The sequence below is a fragment of the Homo sapiens genome, chromosome 4 (assembly GCF_000001405.40).
Source record: "Homo sapiens chromosome 4, GRCh38.p14 Primary Assembly".
Lineage (NCBI taxonomy): Eukaryota > Metazoa > Chordata > Mammalia > Primates > Hominidae > Homo > Homo sapiens.
In genome coordinates this window covers 46,825,160-46,849,926 of record NC_000004.12, presented here as the reverse complement: position 1 = coordinate 46,849,926, position 24,767 = coordinate 46,825,160, and the positions used below count along the sequence as shown (strand labels likewise).

The 24,767-nt window shown below is 36.8% G+C and overlaps 1 protein-coding gene across 10 annotated transcripts in view; it reads left to right on the top strand.

Annotated features, from left to right (window-relative positions):
- COX7B2 (cytochrome c oxidase subunit 7B2) overlaps positions 1–24,767 on the top strand; it is a 174,419-nt gene that overhangs the window by 59,319 nt on the left and 90,333 nt on the right. For all 10 annotated transcript variants that reach the window (NM_130902.3, XM_047449721.1, XM_011513633.3 and 7 more), the window contains one exon: positions 4,913–4,967. The gene's annotated coding sequence lies outside the window, so the exon portion shown is untranslated. The remainder of the gene's footprint in view (positions 1–4,912; positions 4,968–24,767) is intronic.

Below are 24,767 nucleotides of genomic sequence, written 5' to 3'. Positions count from 1 at the left end.
CTTAATTTTCAAGTATGGTAGTTATATGAACATATTCTTAAAATAGAAGGGGAACATCACACACCAGGGCCTGTTGTGGGGTGAGGGGAGCGGGGAGGGATAGCATTTGGAGATATACCTAATGTTAAATGACGAGTTACTGGGTGCTGCACACCAACATGGCACATGTATACATGTGTAACTAACCTGCACGTTGTGCACATGTACCCTAAAACTTAAAGTATAATAAAAAAAAATTCATTGTCTCCAATTCATTAAATTGTTAAGTAAAAGCTGTATTAAACATTATGTAATACCTTATTTAGCTGTAATTTATACATGCTTATCTAACAGCATATGTTCTTCTCTAAGTCTCTATTTCCATTTTCATGCAAGCCACCTCAAATCATTTTGGAAAGCTGCTAATCAGTCAATGCTTATTGAGCATATACTATCCATTAAAAGCTACATCAGTGAAAAGTTCACAGGAGCCTCTGCTGTGGAGGAGTCTACATTCAAATGGGGAGGGCATTTAAAAAATAGAAAATAGTTAGTAATAAAATAAGTTAAAAACTCCTCCATGCCATGATCTAATCTTATATTTCTCTGTGTTTCACAATGTCAGAGATATTACTGAGAGAAGTGAACACTGCTAAACTAAACAAAGCAAAACATAGGAGAAATTGATTTAATCTTTTAGCCTTGATGATGGAGCAAAACCTGGGGAGAAACTGATGGCGCAAGGGGCAGAGTTGTATTACTAGCACTTGCAGAGCCATATAAAGTGTGTATGTGTGTCTGTGTGTGTATAGTTAGCCCTCCATATCCATGGATTTTATAGTCATGTATTCAAATAACTATGGATTTAAAATATTTGGGGAAAGAATTGCAACTGTACTGACATGTACAGACTTTTTTTCTTGTCATTATTCCCTTAACAATGGTGTCACAGTAATTACATAGCATTTACATTGTAGTAGCTATTACAGGTAATCTAAAGATGATTTAAAGTATACAGGAGCATGTGAATAGGTTATATGCAAATATGACACCATTTTATATAAGGGAATTGAGCATCTGAAGATTTTGGTATCCAAGGGAGGTCCTGGAACCAATGCTCCATGGAATCCAAGGGACGATTGAGCATATATAAATATATATACACATAAACACACAAACACACACCATATATATTATGTATGTAAACATATACATAGATAAAGTGTATTGAATACATAAAAGGGACACATTTTGGATGTGTCTTACAGAACTTTAAATACGCTATTTTTTAAATCCTACTTTTCCACTTTGTGTAACTAAGTAAGTGCTCAATAAATCTTCATTGAGTGAATGAATAGAGGAATAATTGCTTTCAAAGAGTTATGGGAAAATAGTATGCTCCCTATAGATAAATATAGATTAAAGCTGAATACTAATCACATTAGGGCATAAAACAGTTTTTGTACAACAGTAAAAATAGCATAAGTTTGCATCCAAATTATAGGTATACAAAAAGCAACAGGGCCAGCTTTTTTCACTGAGCTATACCTAGTTAATTCAGGGCCTTTCGCATAATAAATGCTCATTAGATTTGATTGTATTGATTTTTTTGAAAAATAAATTAAAAGCCAATCCAAGCATGTCTTATAACAATGAAAAGTTTAAAAATAGGTATGTTAGTGATTTAGTAATTAAAATGAGCCGACTTTAATTAGCATTAGTTAGTGAGTTTTGAAATACCAACCTTCAAAGCCTCATAAACAGTGAACTAGCACAGCTCTGACACTAATTGGGTCTTAGGAGCCTAGTAAGGCTGAATGTCATTTACTTAGCAGTGAACAGCTTGGCTAGGTTACAAGGACTCCCACTCCCCAAAAAATTCATCTGTGATAAATCAGCTGTAAATCTTTATATGTAAAATCTAGTGTGGTTAGTGAATGAGCACCTAGAACAAAAAGAACAGAAACACTTTCTGGCTTCTACCAATTTCCATGCAACATCGCTGCCTCTTACCACCTTCTGCTAAGAGGGGGTAAAATAGAGGACCTTGAGGCTGGAGTGGAAGTGGCTGAACCCGGCTTCTCCTGTCATTTTCAATGCTGATTACCTGTCAGCTTCTAGAAGATTCAATTTTCCCTTGCATTTTTGTCTATTCCTCTCTGAGAAAGCTGGCAAGAAACTGCTTGCTGAAATGCTTTTCTCTTGGTTTTCCTCTTACCTCACTGGCCTTTCTCTTCCTTGGTCTTTTTATTGGCGCTTTCTTAGCTCCCTTGCCTGCAAATGCTGGAGTAACCCAGGAATTACATTACTTTTCCATTGGTGCATAACAAATTACTACAAATTGTAGTGCTTTAAAATAACAGACTTTTTTTTAATCTCATAGTTTCTGTGTGTCAGAAGTCTGCTCACAGCTTACCTGGGTCTTCTGCAAGGCTGCAGTCAGAGTATCATTTGGGCCTGGGATATCATCCGAATGCTTGACTTCAGAAGGATTTCTTTCTAAATTTACTCAAGTTTTCTGCAGAGCTTATTTTCTTCGAGCTATAGGAGGGAGGGCCTTATGTTTTGTTGGCTGGAGGCTGAAGGCCTTGCAAGCTGGCAGCTGGAGGCTGCCCTAAGTTTCTAGAGGCTTCCCTCAGTTCCTTGCCAGATTGTTTCCCCCACATGATGCTTGCTTCACATACATCTCACCGTCACATATTCTATTGGTTAGAAACAAGTTACAGATCCTGCCTACATTCTGGGAGATGGGAATCATACAGGGATGTGAACACGAGAAGGTGAGGATAATGGAGCACCTGAGTCTGTCCACTTGAGGGCTAGTTCTCTGTCCTCTCCCCTCTATCTGCACTCATTTCTTCTTACATCTCAACGGCTATATCTATGGTGTTAAATTTGATCGTCCTCAAACTTCACACCAGTATAGCCAACTGCATAGTTTATATATAGTTCCTCTTGGATAGATCTAGTGGACATCTCAAATTTCATATATCTAAACCCAGAATAATTATTTCCCACCAATCACCTGTTTTTTCCCACACTCTTCTAGCCTCACTAAATGCCAGCTCAGTTACTCAGATAAAAACCTTTGTATCATCCTTGACTCTACATTCTTCATACCCACATCTAGCTTATCAGAAAATCCTGTCCCGTCTATTTTCAAAATATATTCAGTCTCTGACCATTTCTCTCCACTTTGTAAAAATGCTTCCTGTTTTATTCCCAGTAAAAGCTACACCATCTGGCTTTTTTGTTACTTCTCTAGCCTCTTCTACTACTGTTCCCTTTTTCATTCCATTCCAGAATAGTGGCTAACTTGCTGTTTTCTGAGCAGCTCAGGTACCCTCTCACTTTAGAGCCGTTCAACTCACTGTTCCCTTTTACTGGAACACTCTTCCCCCAGAAGACTGCATGTCTGACTCCCTCACCTCCCTCATGGCCTTTGATATGTGAAACATTACAGATGAGTCCTACCCTATTCACCTTTTTGCTGTTGCAATCTATTTTTTTTCCTTCCTGTGTTCCAAGTGTCCTTTATACTGCTCTCCCTTCTCCTTTTTTTCCTGTACTTATAATCTTACAACATTCTATATAGGTTATTCATTATATTTATTGTTTATGGTCCCTGTTTCCTACTAGAATGTGAGTTTCATGAGGACACAGATCGCTGTCTCTTCTGTTCATTGCTTTATCTGAAGCCGTTAAATGTTCTTGGTATATAAATAGATGCTCATTAAGTATTTGTTGAATGAATGAACAAATAACGCAGTTAGTCTTGTTCTCACCTTGGTATCTGCAGCATCTTCAATTAATCCTGGATTCATAAGCACTTACAAAACTATTTTACCTTCAAAACGTTTGAAACTTGCCATTTCTTGTTTAGCATCTTCAGTTGGCACTAGGGTCTGATTTAAAATTTAGGTTACTTGGTAGCCCTCTGGTTACCATTCCAGCCCTAATGGGGGTAAAGTCTATCTCCATTTCCTAGCAACTGGCTCAGAACCTACTTCTAGTCAGATTGACCACAAAGAACCTCAACACCACTGCCTCTGACTTTGCTGTTGATGGATACTCATGCAGTTTAACCATATGCCAGATTATTTTACATCAAATGTTGCCTCTCACCAAACATGTACATGTACCTTGGTGAATATCTCAGTTCTTGTTTCACTCCAGGCATTAAGAAGGAGGTAAAACAGGCAGTGGTAGTCACCTGACTCCTCTCCCAGCATACCCCTCCAGGGTTTTTTCTTCTGTGGACTGTTTTTCTTTTATCCTATGCTCTTTTTTTCTGTGTCCCTACATCCTTGAGAACTATTAATATCTGCTTTTTGGGTGGGACTTTCTGTTATGCACATATACTCTAAAGTAGTAAATAAATGTATCATTTTCTCTAGATTTTTTAACTTTAAATCCTCACTATTGTTATAGAATGAAAAATATATTCCTTTCAACCACATTTGAGGCATTAGTCTGCTGGTTAATTTGATTTAGGGCTCAAACATTAGAGAAGTCCATTTCTGTTTCCTTGAACTTGCATGAAGGAAGTTGCTGAGAAGTCTCCAAGCATATTAGGCAAACCTTGGCCAGAACCTTCCATTTGAGGTTGGGTACAGGTGAGTGGTGACTCATGAAGGTAGCTGGTATAAAAAAGAGAGTTATCTCAACCACATGGGTTGAGAAAAGTTTAAAGACTCATTCTCTACCACTATTGGAAAACAGGTAGCTAGGCCCTTGTCATGTGCTTTACGATGCTTCCTTTTCAACTTTGTTTCTTAAAAATTATTTTAATCAGATATCATTTGTATGACAATATTTACTGTTAATGAAGTAGTATATGGTGATTTTCTCTGAGTAACATAGCCTGTACTTACCTCTGGCTTTTTCATTGTCTTTGAAATCTGACACTAATTTTCTAATTGCATTTTTTTAGGAAGCAGAATCTGAAACTTTCTGAGGAGAGCATTTGAGCTTCAGATTTCTAACAGGTAACGAGAAAATATGGAAAAGACCCACACTACCTACATTACACTTTCACAAAGTAAAAGTTAAAGTTCTGGTAGGAAATTTTGTAAAAAATAAAATTCACACTGAATTCATTTTTAAAAAATTGTATGTACTTTTAAGCACGATGTTTATTACTGAGAATCAGCCCAACTACACAAAGAGACAGATGTCAGTTTAAGTAGACAAATGTTTCAAAAATAAAATATTTTTTATCAGCAGTAAATGTTTTACTTGATAGACTAACTTGATAGTCTTAACTACACGAACAGTTGGATACAAAAGAAAATGTGTGTATTGCCAGCAAACATTTTCAAAAGATAAGCACTTGTGCCAAGTACTACATGCTTAGAAAATCTTTCATTTGGACAGCTGAGACCACCACGTGTCTTAAAATATGCCATCCATCATTTCAGTGTTAAGAGCGCCCCCTGGTGTGGTTGTATATTTATATGCTTCCGTGACTTTTAGACGTTTTAAAAATTTCATTTTGCTATTAGATGGTGATGGGCCTTTTTTGCCGGGTTGACTTGGTCAGTATGGTGTGTAACCATCTAGACATTTGTATTTAATATTTTTCTTGTCCTTATCCATGACCGTGTCTGGAGTCAGTGGTCAGCTTGAAAGCCGAATTTGGGAATATTTAATTCCTAAACTTCCTCAGTCAAGCTAATGGCCAATAATATGACATTTATTAAGTATGAAATTATATATTGCGATAAAATTTTACAGGATAATCAAGTTATTTGGTGGTAATAACTTTGTTAAGTGGCAAATTGCTGTGAACAATTTCTTTTTGGTAAGTTCATGGACATTATAATAATTTAACATGAGAATTCAGACAATATATTTTGCTTTTAAAATATCTATTGTGTAGAAACTAAATAACCCAAATGTTGATATTTCCTTACAAGCCAGAAACTCCTCTCTGGTGATATAACTTGCAAATATAAGCAAAATAATTCACCCATGTGTCATAAATAGGACTCTTATTTATTACCTGCCACCAGGGAATAACCCCATAGAATTGCAGCCAAAATTGGCAGCAAAGTACCTGTTTTGTAACTTTTTTTCTTGTATTTTATTTTTAATCCTTTAGGAATATAAACCACTCTTGCAAAGTGAAAGTACACATAATATTCTAAATCACATTTCTGTATATTTGATAATTGCAATTATTTTCCCTAATTGTCTCTTCTTCAGACTATATTATCTTCATTTAACCATTTCTCATATAAATTGTTTGAAATTTAATAATTTGCAGAACTACAATTGTGAACTGTTTGCAGTAGACTGCTTTTGCTTTTATTTTTTTCTCTATGTTCCTCTCTCCTTTGATTCTGAAACCATAAGCTCAGTACAATATTTACATTAATTCCTGGCTGGCTTGTTGAAAGAATGTTTTTAAAAACATAGATTAAAAAAATCAGAGCAATGAATCTGCCTTAGTAGACCTGTGTTTGAATCCCAGCTTTCATATTTACTTGTAAAAATCATGACTGTGGACAAGTTGATGACTCTCTCGGAGTCTCAGTCTTTTCTGTAAAAGAGGAATGCAAATCACTACTTCAGAGGATGTCCTTAATACATTCTTTACATTAATATGTGCTTAAAACTTATTATATGCCAGATATGGGTACCTTATGACACCCCTTATTTTTCACAAGTGTGTGAATGTGGTATTATTATTTCTCTATTATTGATGAGGCTTAGTGATGCTAAGAAGCCTCATAAATGGACAAGCCAAGATTCTAATTCAGGTCTTTCTGACTTAAAGTGAGCTCATCATCAGTGGCCATCAGAGAAATGCAAATCAAAACCATAATGAGATACTATCTCACACCAGTTAGAATGGTGATCATTAAAAAGTCAGGAAACAACAGGTGCTGGAGAGGATGTGGAGAAATAGGAACACTTTTACACTGTTGGTGGGACTGTAAGCTAGTTCAACCATTGTGGAAATCAGTGTGGCGATTCCTCAGGGATCTAGAACTGGAAATACCATTTGACCCAGCCATCCCATTACTGGGTATATACCCAAAGGATTATAAATCATGCTGCTGTAAAGACACATGCACACGTATGTTTATAGCAGCACTATTCACAATAGCAAAGACTTCGAACCAACCTAAATGTCCAACAATGATAGACTGGATTAAGAAAATGTGGCACATATACACCATGGAATACTATGCAGCCATAAAAAATGATGAGTTCGTGTCCTTTGTAGGGACATGGATGAAACTGGAAACCATCATTCTCAGCAAACTATCGCAAGGACAAAAAACCAAACACCGCATGTTCTCACTCATAGGTGGGAATTGAATAATGAGAACACATGGACACAGGAAGGGGAACATCACACACCGGGGACTGTTGTGGGGTGGGGGGAGTGGGGAGGGATAGCATTAGGAGATATACCTAATGTTAAATGATGAGTTAATGGGTGCAGCACATCAGCATGGCACATGTATACATATGTAACAAACCTGCAAGTTGTGCACATGTACCCTAAAACTTAAAGTATAATAATAATAAAATAAAAAAAGTGAGCTCACAACCACTGTGCTATGCATTTAATTTAATCATGCTTATTCATGTCTACTGATTTGTTAATTCATTTGTCATTACTGTCAAATAATCCCCCACTGCACATAGAGGAAAGCAACCTTCAGGGAAAGCATAGAGGAATCATTTTGTATGGATGCTCTTGTCTGAAAGCCAGAATTGCTTTGGGCATTTATTCTTCTATGAAGTTTTGTCAAACCAGGTGGTGCATTAAGACATTGCTTGTTATTACCATGATTGAGCTGATAATAGCAGTGACAACAAATAGGGGTATTAGGTTAGTGAACTTGAAGGCTTCTTTATGAATAATATAAAATCGGGGTAAAGGAATGTTAATTTTAGAAACTGTTGCATCCTTCTAATCCACCATTTATTTTGTGTTTTTTGTTTCCTGGACCTGGGAGCATAGTATAAGTTTGATGTGCATTGCCATTCAATTTAAGTGTCTAATTACTTGCATTGGCTTTGTGAAGCTTGTATCATTTTCTTTATGGGTTAAGAATTATTTTTTGATTTTTATATACCAGATTTCCTGTAATTGCTACAGAGGCCAATGTAATAAGTTTCTCATTTCATTAGTAAGTAGTTTTGAAGGCTACTAAGTAGCTCATCACAGAAATGCAGCGTGAACAGGCCTGTTGTTTGCTTAATAAAATCTAGTGCTGCATATTATTTCCTTGGTCCTTGAGATTTGCTCTAAGAATTAGGCTGTTCAGTCACAATTCAGAGCACATTGTTAGGCTCCTCAATGGCTGAGTGACTGTTTTCTTGTTTAGGTTGTGTCATGACCTGCTTGGGTCAGATGTATAGGCATTATTATGAGTATGTATTCATATTATTATGTCTTACTAAGATAGCACATTATCCCAAACACGAATTAACCTTATGAAAATCAGTTTAACCTTTAACAGAACCAATGAATGAGTGAAGAAATGGGAGTTTTCTTAGTATTTTACCCTCATTTCTGCCCTACAGTGGCATCTCCTGCCAGCCCATCTTAAACACACACACACACACACACACACACACACACACACACAGAGCACATTTGGTAAGTGGGCTCTTTGACTTGTTTACTGTCTGTGGAACCTCTGATATTGTTTTAGTTTAGGCCCTGATACTTTGAACAATTGGAATAGTTTCCTAACTGGATTCCACCTCTCCATTTTTACTCCTCTCTAATCAATTAAGAGCAGGCTAATTTTTCTGAGGCATAGAACTAATATCAGGTTAAAATAATTCAGTGTCTCATTGCTCAAAACCATCTTCTGGTTCTTGCTTACCTCTCTTCTAGTTTTCTCACTGCCTGCCATTGTCCTCACTCCTTGAATGTTGTGCTTTGCTCTGCTGACAAAATTACAGATCCTAGAATGCTTTTTGCTTTCTTTGCCTCCCTTTGTCTTTATGCACCAACTCCGTATGTCAGTGACAGCCTTCTGTACTTCTTCATTTAATGAGTCCTTTTATTTTTGTTTCAAAACCCAGCTCTACTTTTATTTTTTACTGTAATCCTTCCCAGACTAACTTCCCACTGCACAAGCATACACCCAGCCTGAATTAGGTATCTCTTCAGTGGGCCACTAAAGGCCTTATGTCCACTTCTGTTACTGCAAAGTTCTATTTACAGTGGACAACTTGAAGCAGGTATTATTGTATCACAGTACGAGGTACATTGAAAGTGTTCAGGAAAAGCATTATTTATGAAGCTCATGAAGAGGCTGAATGAAAAATATAAAGACGTTGTATTAGAAGTCCCATGAAGCCCATGCCTTCAGTCAGGTTTTAAAGCTGATAGATCAAATGCCTACTATCAGCCATTAGTGGGCAGGATGGGGAAGCAGCTGTTAGTTGACTTCATGTATGCTCTTTCTTCTATTTACATTGACTCTCTCTCAGCACTCATGTACTCCTCAGTGCACCCAACTATCCCTCATGACAGAGAGTTCTTGTGGCTTATTTAATATAATATCCTCTCTTTCCTACCTGCTGAATCCTATTATTGTTGCAGACAAAAACAAATACAGAAGTCCCCTGTTTTCTAATTCTCCTTGTTGGTATGAAAGATAATCTGCCATAATTCTATCCAGTGACATATAAACAAAAATCCGATGGAATTTCTGGGAAAGTCCTGCCTTATTGATACAGATTTTTGCCTCATCTTCCTTCAGGCCCCTTCCTCCTTTCTCATTCCTGGAAGGTAGACATGATGACTGGAACTAGAGAGTCACCTTGCAACCTTGAGGGAAAGGCCAGAAATTACTGAGACTTTAGCCCTGACATCCTTAAACTTCTAAATCAATACCAGCAATTGCCTTCCTTTGGATTTTTCACTACTAAGAGAACGTCCTCAGGTTGTGTTGAAGCCTTTGTTATCTGGGTTTACTGTTGCATCAATTGTCTCAGTTCCCTAATGGATACTCATTAGTATTACAGTTAAAATAAATGCATTAAAAGTTAATGGTATAAGTTTCTCACCTCCCCACCTATATTTTGTATTTTTTAATTCAACAACCATATATTAAGACCCACCATTACCATGTACTACCTTAGACACTAAGATATAAGTATTGACACACCATTATTATGCAAATGGCTTTCAGTCTTATGAAGGCACAGAAACATAAAATTAATTGCAATAAGCAATACAGTGTACTATAGAATATATAATATGATAGGCACAACAGTAGTTACGTAGAAAAGCCTGAGAATTGACAGAAGATATCATTTGCATTTTGATCAGGATGCCCTAAAATATGAAAAATTTCGATAATCAGGAAATGAATCTCTCGTGTGGAATTTCTGGCAGCCTGGACAGGACTAATTCCTTGTGCCTTTTCAATAACACAGTGTAGGTGGTCACCTACTTGTGTCGGCCTTACTGCCTCTTAATAATAATGAAAATGAGCTCAATCTAGGGGACTTTGAGCTGCTGACAGGCTGTCTTTGGAAAGCCAAATTGGTGAAAAGCAATCTGTGGAGAAGGAGGGGCTGGGGATGACACAGGAAGTTACCAAGGATGCTATTGACAAGAGGACTGAAGCACTAAGCAGAGAGCTGTAACAATGAGGGCAGTAAACAGGAAACTGAAGCTCTGTGGTTGAAAGGCAAGAATTAGTTAATGGACAGAGACATCAAAACATCAGGCAGCCCACAGCCCAGAACAAATTCACAATGAGGGAGGGCTAGGGAACAAGTCTCCTCAAGAGAGCACAAAAATAGGCTGCTCTACTCTGGGAGTCTCAGCAAAGTCTCTGTGAGAAAAGCCAGAAGCAGACCATAATAAGGATACTATTTATAAAATCACAGAGGCTCAAAGGAGTTAAAATGAGAAAATATTCCTAAAATAAAACATAAAAATTATAATGAGTTGATGTTTTGAAAAGGCGCTAAATGCATGAAGAACCTGATTCAAAAACAGGGCCTGGGGACTTTGATTTCATGGCATGATCTTGAGATGTATTTGGTGCAGATTTTGAAATTAAAAAAAAAAAAGTTCCAGGAAAGGTAAAATTAATCTGGAATAAAATTTCTATGGTTGGGCCAAATGCCATTCGGAATTATCAGGTCTTGGGATAAGCTACAGAAGGAAATTTAAGCACATTACCACTTCTTCCAACTGTGACACACAGAGTTTTCCCAGAAGACAAGTGAAATGAAAGCTGCCAATGATCTAGGTTTTGAATAGTAAGGACTGACCATCTTCAGTGTGCCTTAACACCACCCACTTGAGAGAAACTGTGAATACCAATAAGGCATCAAGGTATGTTTATGCTATCACAAAATACTCCATACTGTTACTCTACCCAGGGTTAATGGACCAAGTTATGCTTTGATGCATGACCACCACTTCTGATAGTGAATTATAGATACTTTTCTTTGGCACAAGTCCAACCTTCCTTAAAAATAAGTAAACTGGCTTCTGTGACTATAGTCGGCCTGCACACTTCATCTAATACAGAATGCCAATTATGTCATCTAATTTTACTGAGAGTGATTTTCTGAAATATATATATTATACATGTTTGCATGTTGTATAGAAATATATATTAGATCACTTATAATATTACAGATGATTTAAATTATTCCCAGTGCAAGACATAATGCTAGTACATGCATGATTTTTTTTTCTTTTAAAGTGCTACCTATGAGGCAGCATAATTATTTCACAGGATGTCAAATTCCATAGAATAGAGATGTAACCTATATACCTTTTAACTTTCCTTGATAATTTGATGCTGATAAAGAATGTACAAATTAACCCACAAATTTTTTGAAACTATTTTGCTTGTAGTTGGCAGACTGCTTTGATCTATGAAACACAGTAATGAAACTCTAGAGTATACTGTTTTCTAGATTTAAGTTCTAGGCATCTAGGATTCCATAAATATCTATGTTGACTTCCATGTCTTCAATGTTTACAATAATTTCGGTTATTTCGACCTTAGTTTTTAGATTGAGAAGTTCTGACCTTTTGTATCTTTCTTCATTTGTAAATTTGTTCTATGGTTAATTATTATTATTCCCCATACCTTATCCTGAGCTTTGATATTTCTAAAATGTGGCAACAAACAGCATAAGGCAGTATAGGAACACACAAAGCAGAATGTTACCAAAAAACCTCTCAGGGATATTTAATTGCTATTAGTTTTCTAAAAGTGTTATCTTATCCTTATTTTTATTTTTTATGTAGAAAAATATATAATGTAAAATTTTTAATTCTAGCCATTTTTAAGTGTACAATTCAGTGGCATTAGTTACATACACAGTGTTGTTGAACCATCACCACTACCCATTTCCAACATTTTTTAATACCCTAAAGAGAAACTGTAAACCCCTTAAGCAGTATCTCCCCATTCCTACCTTCCCAACAGATTCTGGCAATGTAATGTGCTTTTAGTCACTATGAATTTGCCTATTCTAGATGTTTCATATAAGTAGAATCATACACTATTTGTCCATTTGCATCTGGCTTATTTCACTTAGCATACAGTTTTCAGGGTTTATCCATGTTGTAGTGTGTATATCACTTCATACCTTCTTATGGCTGAACCATATTCCTCTGTGTGTGTGTGTGTGTGTGTGTGTGTGTGTGTGTGTGTGTATGTCTTTGTGTGTTCATACTACATTTTATCCATTCATCTGTTGATGTACACTTGGGTGTTTCCACCTTTTGTGATTTTTAAAGCAGCTGTATTTCTTAAACTACTACATTTTTATTGAGCTAAGTCTCAGAGTCTCTTAAAGATCTTTAGGCACACTTTCTTTTGGAAACTGAATCCTGCACTGAAGTTAACATGTTAAGATGAACATATCTCAATTAAATGCTGCTGTATTTAAATATGAAGTGGATTAAACTATTGACTAATCTATATGTAAAACTGTACACATATTTACTTGTAATTCATAATTTTAGTGTCAATATATATTCATGTGCCGCATAACGATGTTTCAATTAAGGGTAGGCTGCATATGTGACAGTGATCGCATGAGTTTATAGTGGATCTGAAAAATACCTATTGCCTAGTGACGTTGCAGCTGTGGTGAAGTTAGAGCTGTTGTGACATTGTAACAGTCATAATGTCATAGTGCAATGCATTACTTACCTTTTTCTGGTGATGCTGCTGTAAATAACCCACTGTACTGTCAGTCATAACAAATCTATCACATACCATTATATACAGTTCATTATACTTAATACCAAATAACTATATTACTGGTTTATATGTTCACTCTACTATGTTTTTTATTCATTATTTTAGCTTGTGCTCCTTCTTTTTTTTTTTAAAATTTAACTGTAGAACAGCCTCAGGCAGGTCATTCCATAGGATATTCCAGAAGAAAGCATTGTTCTCACAAGAGATGACAGCTCTATGTGTGTTACTGCTTCTGAAGATCTTCCAGTGGGACAAGATGTGGAGATGGAAGATAGTAATATTGATGATCCTAACTCTTTCTAGGTCTAGGCCAATGTGTGTTTTTGCATTTTAGATTTTAACTACTTTAAAAAAATATAAAAAAAAAATTTTTTAAATAGAGAAAAAAACGTATAGAATAAGGATATAAAAATATTTTTGGACAGTTGTACAGTGTTTGTGTTTTGAGCTAAATATTATCACAAAGGAGTCAATAAAGTGAAAAAAGTAAACACACAGTAAAATGTTGCAATAAGCTAAGGTTTATTATTGAAGAAAGAAATTTTTAATAAGTTTAGCATAGCCTAAGTGTACAGTGTTTATAAAGTCTACAGTAGTGTACAGTAATGTTCTAGGTCTTCACACTCACTCAGCACTCACTCACTGCCTCACCCAGAGCAATTTCCAGTCTTGCAAGCTCCATTCATAAGTGCCCTATAAAGGTGTACCATTTTTATCTTTTATACCATATTTTTACTGTACCTTTTCTATGTTTGGACATGTTTAGGTACATAAATCATTACCCTCGAGTTATAGTTGCCCACAGTATTCTGCAAAGTAACTTGCTGTGCAGCTTTGTAGCAGACGAGCAGTAGCGTGTATCATATAGCCTAGATGTGTAGTAGGCTGTATGATTGAGGCTGTGTAAATACACTTTATGATTTTTGTACGTTGATGAAATTGCCTAATGATGCATTTCTCAGAACATGTCCCCATCATTAAATGGCACATCACTTATTTATATTTTTTCAGACAGTACACATTTTCAAAGGCTATTGAAAAAGCTTGTGGCTCTAAGAAATAAATGGACCTATGTTACTTTATGCATTGAATGTCTAGGTTGATAGTTGGCTGTTCTGTAACATGCTATATCTTACGCAGTTTTTTCCATTGAAAACCATTTTCACTTCTGTTTCACCAGGAGGACTAGGCCTGCTTACTGTCCCAAAATGTAGCCGTCAGACTCTTCTTCCACCATGATTCTCGAACAGTCTGCCTTATTAACATGTGTGTGTGTGTTTTTGAGGGGGGACTTGTTTGCGTATCTCGTAACAGTTACTGCATTTTTTTTTTCTGATTTTAAAAGCAACGCATTTTCATTTTAGGATGTTTACGCACTAGAGAAACATTCAATTTGCTAACTTTGCTATTATAAACAATGTTGCAACATATAGCCTTGTGCCTACCTTTCATGTCTGTGTGCAAGTATTCCTGAAGTTAAAACTAGGTGCATTTGTAATTTTGATAGATGCTTTCAAATTGTCCTTTATGTCATGCTGTCATACACATTACATTCTCATCAGCAGTGTGTAATAATCCCCCTTTTCTTACATCATCCCCATCAATATCATAAGTATTACCAGGTTTTTGAGTCTTTATCAAACTACTAGGGAAAAAAGGTCTTAACTTTTATTTCTCTTATTATGATTGAAAGTTTTTCTTGTTTAAGAATTACTCATATTTCCATTTTTATGAATTATCAGTTTATATAATTTGCTTCTTTTGCTTTCAAGGGATTTTTTTGTTTTGAAGTTTGGAGACTTGCACATTGCCTAGCATATTAGTTGTCAATATTTTTCCAAGTTTGTGTTTTGATATTTTTCCTCTGGAGTTTTGTCATTCATTATTTTTTAATGTGGTTTTGTTTTTGTCTTTCTGTTTATGATAAACAATAGCTTCTATGTGAGATTATTTTAAAATATTTCCATGATTTCTTTTAGTAATATTATGCACACTCTTCATATTCTATATTTAAATATTTGATTTATTGATAATGTATTATATTGGACTGATAAGGCAAGATAACAATCAAGTGAAGAAGAAAGTGTCGGGGAATAATTATAGTAAAATGCTTCCAAAGAAAGTTGGATAAAAGCATTTAAATGTTTTTATTTGTTTTCTGAATGGTAACTTAGTTGCCCTAATGTCTTTTATTGAAATATTCATTTTTTTACGTGAATTTGCTATGCCATGTTTATCCTATACACAATTTCCAAATGTGCTAGGGTTTATTCGCAGAGTTTTTAATGCTATTGACATTATATCTTCATGCTTAGCACTATACTAGTTTAGTTATTCTAGCTGTAAAATGTATTTCAACATTCGAGATAGATACTGTTTTTGTGTTTCTTTTCTTGTCTTTTTTCATCAATTTCACAGATCTTCATTCCTGTTTGTATTACCATCTGAACTCCAGAATCAATGTATGTACTTCTCCAGAAGAAGACAAAACTTGTTGGTATTTTAAAATTGGGATCATACTATATTTATAGTTTGACTTAAAAATAATTGTCATCTTTATGCTTAGTGTTTCTATCCAAGAATATGTATCTCTGGTCACAATTTTTATCTTTCAATCATTGTGATGTTTCTTCATAAATAACTTACATAAATCTTTTCAGATTTTGTTGTTGTTGATTTAATTGCTTTTGTTAGCTTCTCATTTACTCCCATTATTCTCCCAACTCTTCTTTACACTCTCTGTGACCTTGTTTTCTCAGTACTACAGTTTATAGCTACATCTTTACATTCTTGTTTTGAACTGGATCTTTACCTTCAAACTTAAATGTTTTTCATAGAATTCCAATTTGCCAACCCAACAACATTTCTGTCAACCCACCATATCTTCATTCCATATTTTTTTTGCACACTTCTTTTTTTTGCCTTATCTGTAAAGATTAATATTTACAAAAGCTGAAGTTTCTCACAATTCACTTATTCTGTCATCCTTTTTCATATGGTTTCTGCTCCCACAACTGTTAAAGTCACAGTATTATGAAGTGACATAATGGTCTCATAGTCATCAATTCCCATCAATGTTTCTCTCTATTCATCTTCCTTTCCCCAATACTTCTTATTGCCTCTGCTCTCTTAAAACACTCCTATAGATTTTTCATTGAGTTTCTCTGAGTTTTACTTTCCCTTTTGAATCTTACATCAAAAAGTATATGAATGCTAGTAACCTGCATTTGGGCTATACTTTTTCCATGCTTTCTCCATTGGAATGTCATATTTCCTATGAGTTCTGCATAGGAATTAAGCATACACCTCCCAAATTTATATCTCTATTTCTAACCTCTTTTCTCATTCTAGTTACATCCTCTTGTTTACATTTTCTTTGGTGAGCCATTTGTGAAAGATATATGCTCACTTTTTAATTGTAAAGTTGATGCCAGGACATACTGTGTTAGTTCTCACATTGCTACAAATAAATATCTGAGGTTGGGTAATTTATAATGAAAAGAGGTTTAAATGGCTTGGTGGGGCGCGGTGGCTCACACCTGTAATCCCAGCACTCTGGGAGGCCGAGGTGGGTGGATCACCTGAGGTTGGGAGTTGAAGACCAGCCTGACCAACATGGAGAAATCCCGTCTCTACTAAAAATACAAAATTAGCCGGGCACCGTGGTACATGCTTGTAATCCCAGCTACTCGGGAGGCTGAAGCAGGAGAATCACTTGAACCCGGGAGGCGGAGGTTGTGGTAAGCCAAGATCACGCCTTTGCACTCCAGCCTGGGCAACAAGAGCGAGACTCCATCTCAAAAAAGAAAAAAAAAAAGGCTCACAGTTCAGCAGGCTGTACATGAAGCGTAGTTTTGGCATCTGCTTCTGGTGAGGGCCTCAGGGAGCTTACAATTATGGCAGAAGGCGAAGGGGAGCTAGTGGGTCACACGGTGAGAGCAGGAGTGAGAGAGAGTGGGGAGGTCCCAGATTCTTTTGAACAACCATATCTTAAGTGAACTAACTGAACAAGAATCCTCTCATCATCAAGAGGATGGTACTAAACAGTTTATTAGGAATCTGCCTCCATGCGCCAATCACCTCCCTCTAGATACCACCTCCAACATTGGGAATCACATTTCACCATGAGATTTGGAGGGGTCAGACCTCCAAACCATATCAGTTAGCTAGCCAGTTACCTCAGTTTTAACTTTTACCTTGTCTTTAAATATGCCTATGGAACTGGTTTTTGCCAGTGTATTGGGAACAGAAATAATATGTGACACTTTTAACTTGATGTTGCTTGAAATTATGTGTGCTTTTGTGTCTGGAATTGGTGGGTTCTTGGTCTCACTGACTTTAAGAATGAAGCTGTGTACCCTCGGGGTGGGTGTTACAGTTCTTAAAGGCGGCGTGTCTGGAGTTTGTTCCTTCTGATGTTCAGATGTGTTCGGAGTTTCTTCCTTCTGGTGGGTTCGTGGTCTCACTGGCTCAGGAGTGAAGCTGCAGACCTTCGCAGTGAGTGTTGCAGCTCATAAAGGCAGTGTGGACCCAAAGAGTTAGCAGTAGCAAAATTTATAGCAAAGAGCGAAAGAACAAACCTTCCACGGTGTGGAAGGGGACCCGAGCAGGTTGCCACTGCTGGCTGGGGCAGCTTGCTTTTATTCTCTTATCTGGCCCCACCCACATCCTGCTGATTGGTCCATTTTACAGAGAGCTGATTGGTCTGTTTTAACAGGGTGCTGATTGGTGCATTTACCATTCCTGAGCTAGACACAAAAGTTCTCCACCTCACCACTAGATTAGCTGTGCTGATTGGTGTATTTACAAACCTTGAGCTAGATACAGAGTGCCCATTGGTGTATTCACAATCCCTTAGCTGGACATAAAGGTTCTCCAAGTCCTCACCAGATCAGCTAGACACAGAGCGCAGATTGGTGCATTTACAAACCTTGAGCTAGACACAGAGTGCTGATTGGTGCATTTACAAACCTTGAGATAGATGCAGAGTGCTGATTGGTGTATCACAATCCCTTAGCTAGACATAAAGATTCTCCAAGTCCCCTCCAGATTAGCTAGATAGAGTGCCAACTGGTGCATCCACAAACCCTGAAATAGACAGGATGCTGATTGGTGTGTTTACAAACCTTGAGCTAGGTACAGAGTGCTGATTCATGTATTTACAATCCCTTAGCTAGACATAAAGGTTCTCCAAGTCCCCACTAGACTCAGGAGCCCAGCTGGCTTCACCCAGTGGATCCCGCACTGGGGCCACAGGTGGAGCTGCCTGCCAGTCCCGTGCCATGCGCCCGCACTCCTCAGCCCCTGGGTGGTCGATGGGACAGGGTGCCGTGGAGCCGGGGGTGGCACTCGTTGAGGAGGCTCGGGCCGCACAGGAGCCCATGGCGGGGTGGGAGGTTGGGGGGGCACTCAGGCATGGCAGGCTGCAGGTCCTGAGCGCTGCTGTGTGGGGAGGCAGCTAAGGCCTGGTGAGAAATCAAGCGCTGCGTTGGTGGGCCGGCACTGCTGGGGGACCCGGCCCACCCTCCGCAGCTGCTGGCCTGGGGGCTAAGCCTTTCACTGCCCGGGGCTGGCAGGCCGGCCGGCCACTCCCAATGCGGGGCCCACCAAGCCCATGCCCACCCGGAACTCTAGCTGGCCTGCAAGCCTTGTGCAGCCCGGGTTCCCGCCCATGCCTTTCCCTCCACACCTCCCCACAGGCTGAGGGAGCCGGCTCTGGCCTCAGCCATCCCAGGAAGGGGCTCCCACAGTGCAGTGTCGGGCTGAAGGGCTCCTCAAGTGCGGCCAGAGTGGGCGCCGACGCCTAGGAGGCGCCAAGAGCGAGCAAAGGCTGCGAGGGCTGCCAGCATGCTGTCACCTCTCACTTTCTCCATACTTTGCCTCTTGTGAGATGACTGTACATTAATGCCCAGTAAAACTTTGAAAGCCATTTGCAGAGACTTTCAGCCAAGGTTCCTAAACTACTGTGGAGCAGACTCCCTTCCTCCTGTCATGCTCTTACTAGGCTTATATGAGCAAGAAATAAGCATCTATTGTGTTAAGCCACTTAGATTTCAAGGTTTTTCTATTATATCAGTTAGCATTGCCTCAACCAATACAATTGCTCTGTGAACACTTCCTGTTAAAGGTATTTTAGATGCTTCAAACTATGTCTAGAATACATTTTCATATGTTTTTTTAGACCTAATCTTTCTCCTTTTCCTTCTATTAATGAACACAATATACCATTATATTATTATATGCCAAATACCCAGACTAAAATAGTCATTTTAACTTTTTATTTCATATTTTCCTCAATGGAGTATAATACTTTCCATTGCCTAGAAAAGTTTTCCTACATACATTGTTTCTTTTCTCTCCGTTTTCTCTTTCTTTTTCTTTTTTTTTTTTTTTTTTTGGAGACAGAGTCTTGCTCTGTAGCCCAGGCTGGAGTGCAGTGGCATGATCTCAGCTCATTGCAACCTCCACATACTGGGTTCAAGCAATTCTCCTGCCTCAGCCTCTCCAGTAGCTGGGATTACAGGCACACACCACCACCCCCGGCTAATTTTTGTATTTTTAGTACAGACGGGGTTTCACCATGTTGGCCAGGCTGGTCTCGAACTCCTGACTTCATGATCTGCACGCCTTGGCCTCCCAAAGTGCTAGGATTACATGCGTGAGCCACCGCGCCCGGCCTCTATCCATTTTTATAGTATCTATTCTATTTCAGGTTCTTGTTATCTCTAATTTGAGAGTTGCCATAACTTACAACCAATTTCTCCGTTTAATTATTTCTTCACATTCTCCATACAACTGATTAATATTCCAAACTTGGTGTGATATGTCATTAGTTTTTACTCAAAACTATATGTAATAAAGTTCAAAATCTTTATCTGTATTCTGCCCTTCAGTTTAATTTTGCTGTTATTTTATGTCACTTCCTATATGGTATAATATATTGTGTAAACAAAAATACCTAACACATCTTTTACACCCTGCTCATTTTCCTACTTCCCTTTGTTCTGTTTACATGGAAATTGTAAACCTTCTTAAGATCCAGTTCAAATGTTGCTTCTTTCACAAAGCTTCTCTGATCCCCTTCTTTAATAATAAGTAATTTCTTCATCCCATGATGAAGTGCCATCAGATGGAGTGTCATTTATGACACATTGCTTTAATTATAGCTACATGTGTGTCTTATCTCACCTACTAGAGGAGATTCATGATGACATGCTTTAAGAAAACTATTACTAATTGAATGTTTTACCTGGAAAAAAAATTGCATGTTAAAATAAACTTATTTTCAAGAGTTGTATCAACAATTTTCTTATCAGCAATTTTTCCAAAAGATAAAAGTGGGTGCAAACTGAATTAGAAAATAGATCCTCAATGTGTTTCTAAATAGATTATTACTAGATAACATAAAACATATTCCATGGTCATTAAATGATTGTTATGAAATGAGAGACTATTACTTTATAATATTCAACTAAACTGACTCATGATTCTTTACATATTTTTCAATTTAAAACAAGATGAGTATGGGCAGTATCACATACACCATGAAAAATAAGTATATTCTCTTTGGAGGTAAAAAATTTGTGATGAAATGAGACTTTGATGTTTCCCAAGGAATGCTGTATCCATTTTAATATGCAGAAAGACGGTAATCTCAATCACGTGCTTAGAATACTGCTGTTGTCTTCATAGTTTTCTTCATTTGAGAAAGGAGTAATAATAGTTCACATATAAGGCTGAGCATTACAAAAGTATTAAGATTCATGAATGTAGAGAAATACATTTTTTTATTTTATATGCAGAGAGTTAATTATACTTCGCTGTTATCAATCTGCACAAGGGCTCTCTTATATTTTTCTGCAATTACCTTTTTTACATGATTTCTCATATTCACTGACATTTCTCTCTGCCCATATCCATAGACAAGACTTCATGTGTATCCCTGAAAACTATATAATATTACTCCATATATTGATGTGTTCATGTTTTCATTTGTATAAATGATGTTGAATTATTCTATTTAATAGTTTTATCGCTCATAATTTTCTTATGATTTACTGATTGTACTCTATGTGCACTTTTCTTCTTTTCGTTATTGCCTGGAATTCCATCTTGTGAATATTATCACATTTTATTCCATTTATCTCTTATGATTGGCACCTAGTATTACCAGTGGAAGGTTTTGTAATTTACTTGCACATATAATTTTTACTATTTCCTGAATGCTTTACAGAATGGCTGACTCAATTTCTAAGTCCGTCAGCAAAACCCAGCAGCTTAATTTCCCTATTATACTTTCTAACATTTGGTGTTATCCAACTTTCTGAATTTTGTTAATTTGAAAACTCATAATTTGAACTTTGTGCTTCTTTAGTAGGGAATATGAGCCTTATTTTCATATGTGAAGCTTTTGTCAACTCCTTCTATTGGGTTTTCTGTTTTTCTTTTTTGTTTTTCAGAAGTTCCTTGTATAATCTAGATTAATACTTTGTTAGTTTTAAACATTGCAAATATTCCTCCCTGTCTTTAATCTTTCTTTGAACTTTACATTGAGCAGAAGTTTTCTTTGTATTATGTCAAATTTGTTACATTTTGCATTATGTTTTCCTAAATCAAATTTATTAAGGTATAATTCATATACAGTAAAATGCAGCCACATTAAGGGTACAGTTTGATGAGCTTTGACAAGTGCATACATCTGTGTGCCCTCCACCGCAAACAACATATAGAAAATTTCCATCCCCTCCAAAAGTTTTCTTGTGACCTTTTGCAGTCAATTTCTGCCTTTGATCCCAGTCCCAGGCAACCAGTGATCTGTTTTCTGTCACTAAATATTACTTTTTCTTCTTCTAGAATGTCATATAAATGGAACCATGTAATTTGTACATTTTGCGTTTGGCTTCATTCACTAAGCAAAATGTTTTGAAAGAAAAGGAAAACAGGTATATATAGACACACACACATTCACACATACACTATATATATTGTTTGCCATTTCTGGTGCTCTTCATTCCTTCCTGTATATCCAGCTTGTTATTTGGAATCACTTTTTTTCAGTCCTTTCAACTTCGTTTAGCATTTCCTTTTAGTGCAGATATGCTACGAGTAGCTCATATTTTAAAGACACAAAAGGTTTTTATTTCAACTTTTAAAATTTGTTTGTTTTGCTAAGCAATTCTACGGACATAATTACTTTATTTTTGTAGGGTACTTTCAGTAGATACAGAATTTGGCTGAAAAACTTTTCCTTCTCTACTTTGGACATGCCATTCTGACGTCTTCTGGCCTCCGCTGTTTGTGATACAAAAACCTACAGTTGGTTGCATGATTGTTACCATCTACATAGTTTCATTTGTTTTTAGGTGCTTCCAAGATTCTCTATCTGTAGCTTTCATAAGTCGACTATGAGTTTCTCGGTTGTGATTTTCTTTGTATTTATCCTATTTGGAGTTTGTAAATTTCTTGGACCTGTAAATTTATAGCTTTTTCCTTTCTTTCTTTTTACCAAATTTGGGAAGATTATAGCCTTTTATTTCTGCAAATATTTTTTTCTTTCACTTTTTGTCTCTATTCTCCTGGAACTCCAGTGACATAAATGTTGAATCATTTGATATTATCCCTCAAGTCTCTGAACCTTTATTGTTTTTCAATCTTTTCTTCACTGTACTCCAAATTTTATTCAATCCATTAATCTATTTTGAATTTTATGGATTTATTTTCTTTTTCCATTTTAAAACCATTTGGTCATATTCAGTGAATTACATTTCAGTTATTGTACTTTTTGGCTGTAGAATTTCCATCTCATTCTTTTTTTATTGTTGCCATTTTTCTGCTCCTCTCCCTCCTCCATCCCTCCACATGCTAGTAGATCCCAGTGCCTGTTGTTTCCTTCATTGTGTTCATAAGTTCTTGTCATTTAACTTCCACTTATACGTGAGAACATGCAGTATTTGGTTTTCTGTTCCTACTTTAGATTGCTAAGGTTAAGAGCCTGTAGCTCGATCCATGTTCCCACAAAAAACATGATCTCATTCTTTTTTATAGCTACATAGTATTCCATGATGTATATGTACCACATTTTCTTTATCCAATCTGTCATTGATGGGCATATAGATTGATTCCATGTCTTTGCTGTTGTGCATAGTGCTACAATGAACATTCGCGTGCATGTGTTTTTTTATGGTAGAATAATTTATATTTTGGGGAATAATGGAATTGTTGGGTCGAATGGTATTTCCGCTTGTGGCTGTTTGAGGAATTGCCATACTACTTTCCATAACAGTTGAACTAATTTACACTCCCACCAACAGCGTATAAGCATTTCCTTATCTCCACAACCTTGCCAAAATGTGTTATTTTCTGAACTTTTATTAATAGCCACTTTAACTGGTGTAAGATGGTATCTCATTGTGCTTTTGATTTGCATTTCTCTAATGATGAATAACACTGAGATTTTTTCATATGTTTTTTGACTGCATATATGTCTTCTTTAAAAAAGTGTCTGTTCATGTTCTTTGCTCACTTTTTAATGGGGTTGTTTTTCTCTTGTAAATTTTTAAGTTTTTTATAGATGCTGCGTGTTAGACTGTCAGATGCATAGTTTGCAATATATTTTCTCTCATTCTGTAGTTTGTCTGTTTACTGTCAATATTTTCTTTTGCTGTGCAGAAGCTCTTAAGTTTAATTAGATCCCACTTGTTAGTTTTTGCTTTTGTTGCAATAGCTTTTGGCATCTTTGTCATGAAATCTTTGCCCATTCTTATGTCCAGGATGGTACTACCTAGGTTGATTTCCAGGGATTTTATAGTTTTGGGTTTTACATTTAAACCTTTAATCTATCTTGTGTTGGTTTTTGTGCATGTTATAGGAAGGGGTCCAGCTTCAATCTTCTGCATATGGCTAGTCAGTTATCCCAGCGCCATTTATTGAATAGGGAGTCTTTCCCCATTGCTTGTTTTTGTTAGGTTTGTAGAAGATCAGATAGTTGTGGGTGTGGCCTTATTTCTGGGCTCTCTATTCTGTTCCATTGGTCGATGTTCCTGTTTTTGTACAATTACCATGCTGTTTTGGTTACTGTAGCCTTGAAGTATAGTTTGAAGTCAGGTAACCTCATGCCTCCAGCTTTGTTCCTTTTGCTTAGGATTGTCTTGGCTATGGGAGCTCTTTTTTGGTTCCATGTGAATTATAATATAGTTTTTTTCTAGTTCTGTGAAGAATGTCTTTGGTAGCCTGATAAGGATAGCATTAAATCTGTAAATTGCTTTGGGCAGTATGGCCATTTTAATAACATGGATTCTTCCTTCTATGAGCATGGGATGTTTTTCTATTTGTTTGAGTCTTTTATGATTTAGTTGAGCAGTGTTTTGTAAATTTCATTGTAGAGGTCTTTCACCTACCTAGTTAGCTGTATTCCTAGGTATTTTATGCTTTTTTATGGCAATTGTGAATGGGATTGCCTTTCTGATGTGGCTCTCGGTTTGGCTGTCATTGGTGTATAGGAATGCTAATGATTTTTGAACATTGATTTTGTATTCTGCAACTTTGCTGAAGTTGGTTATCAGC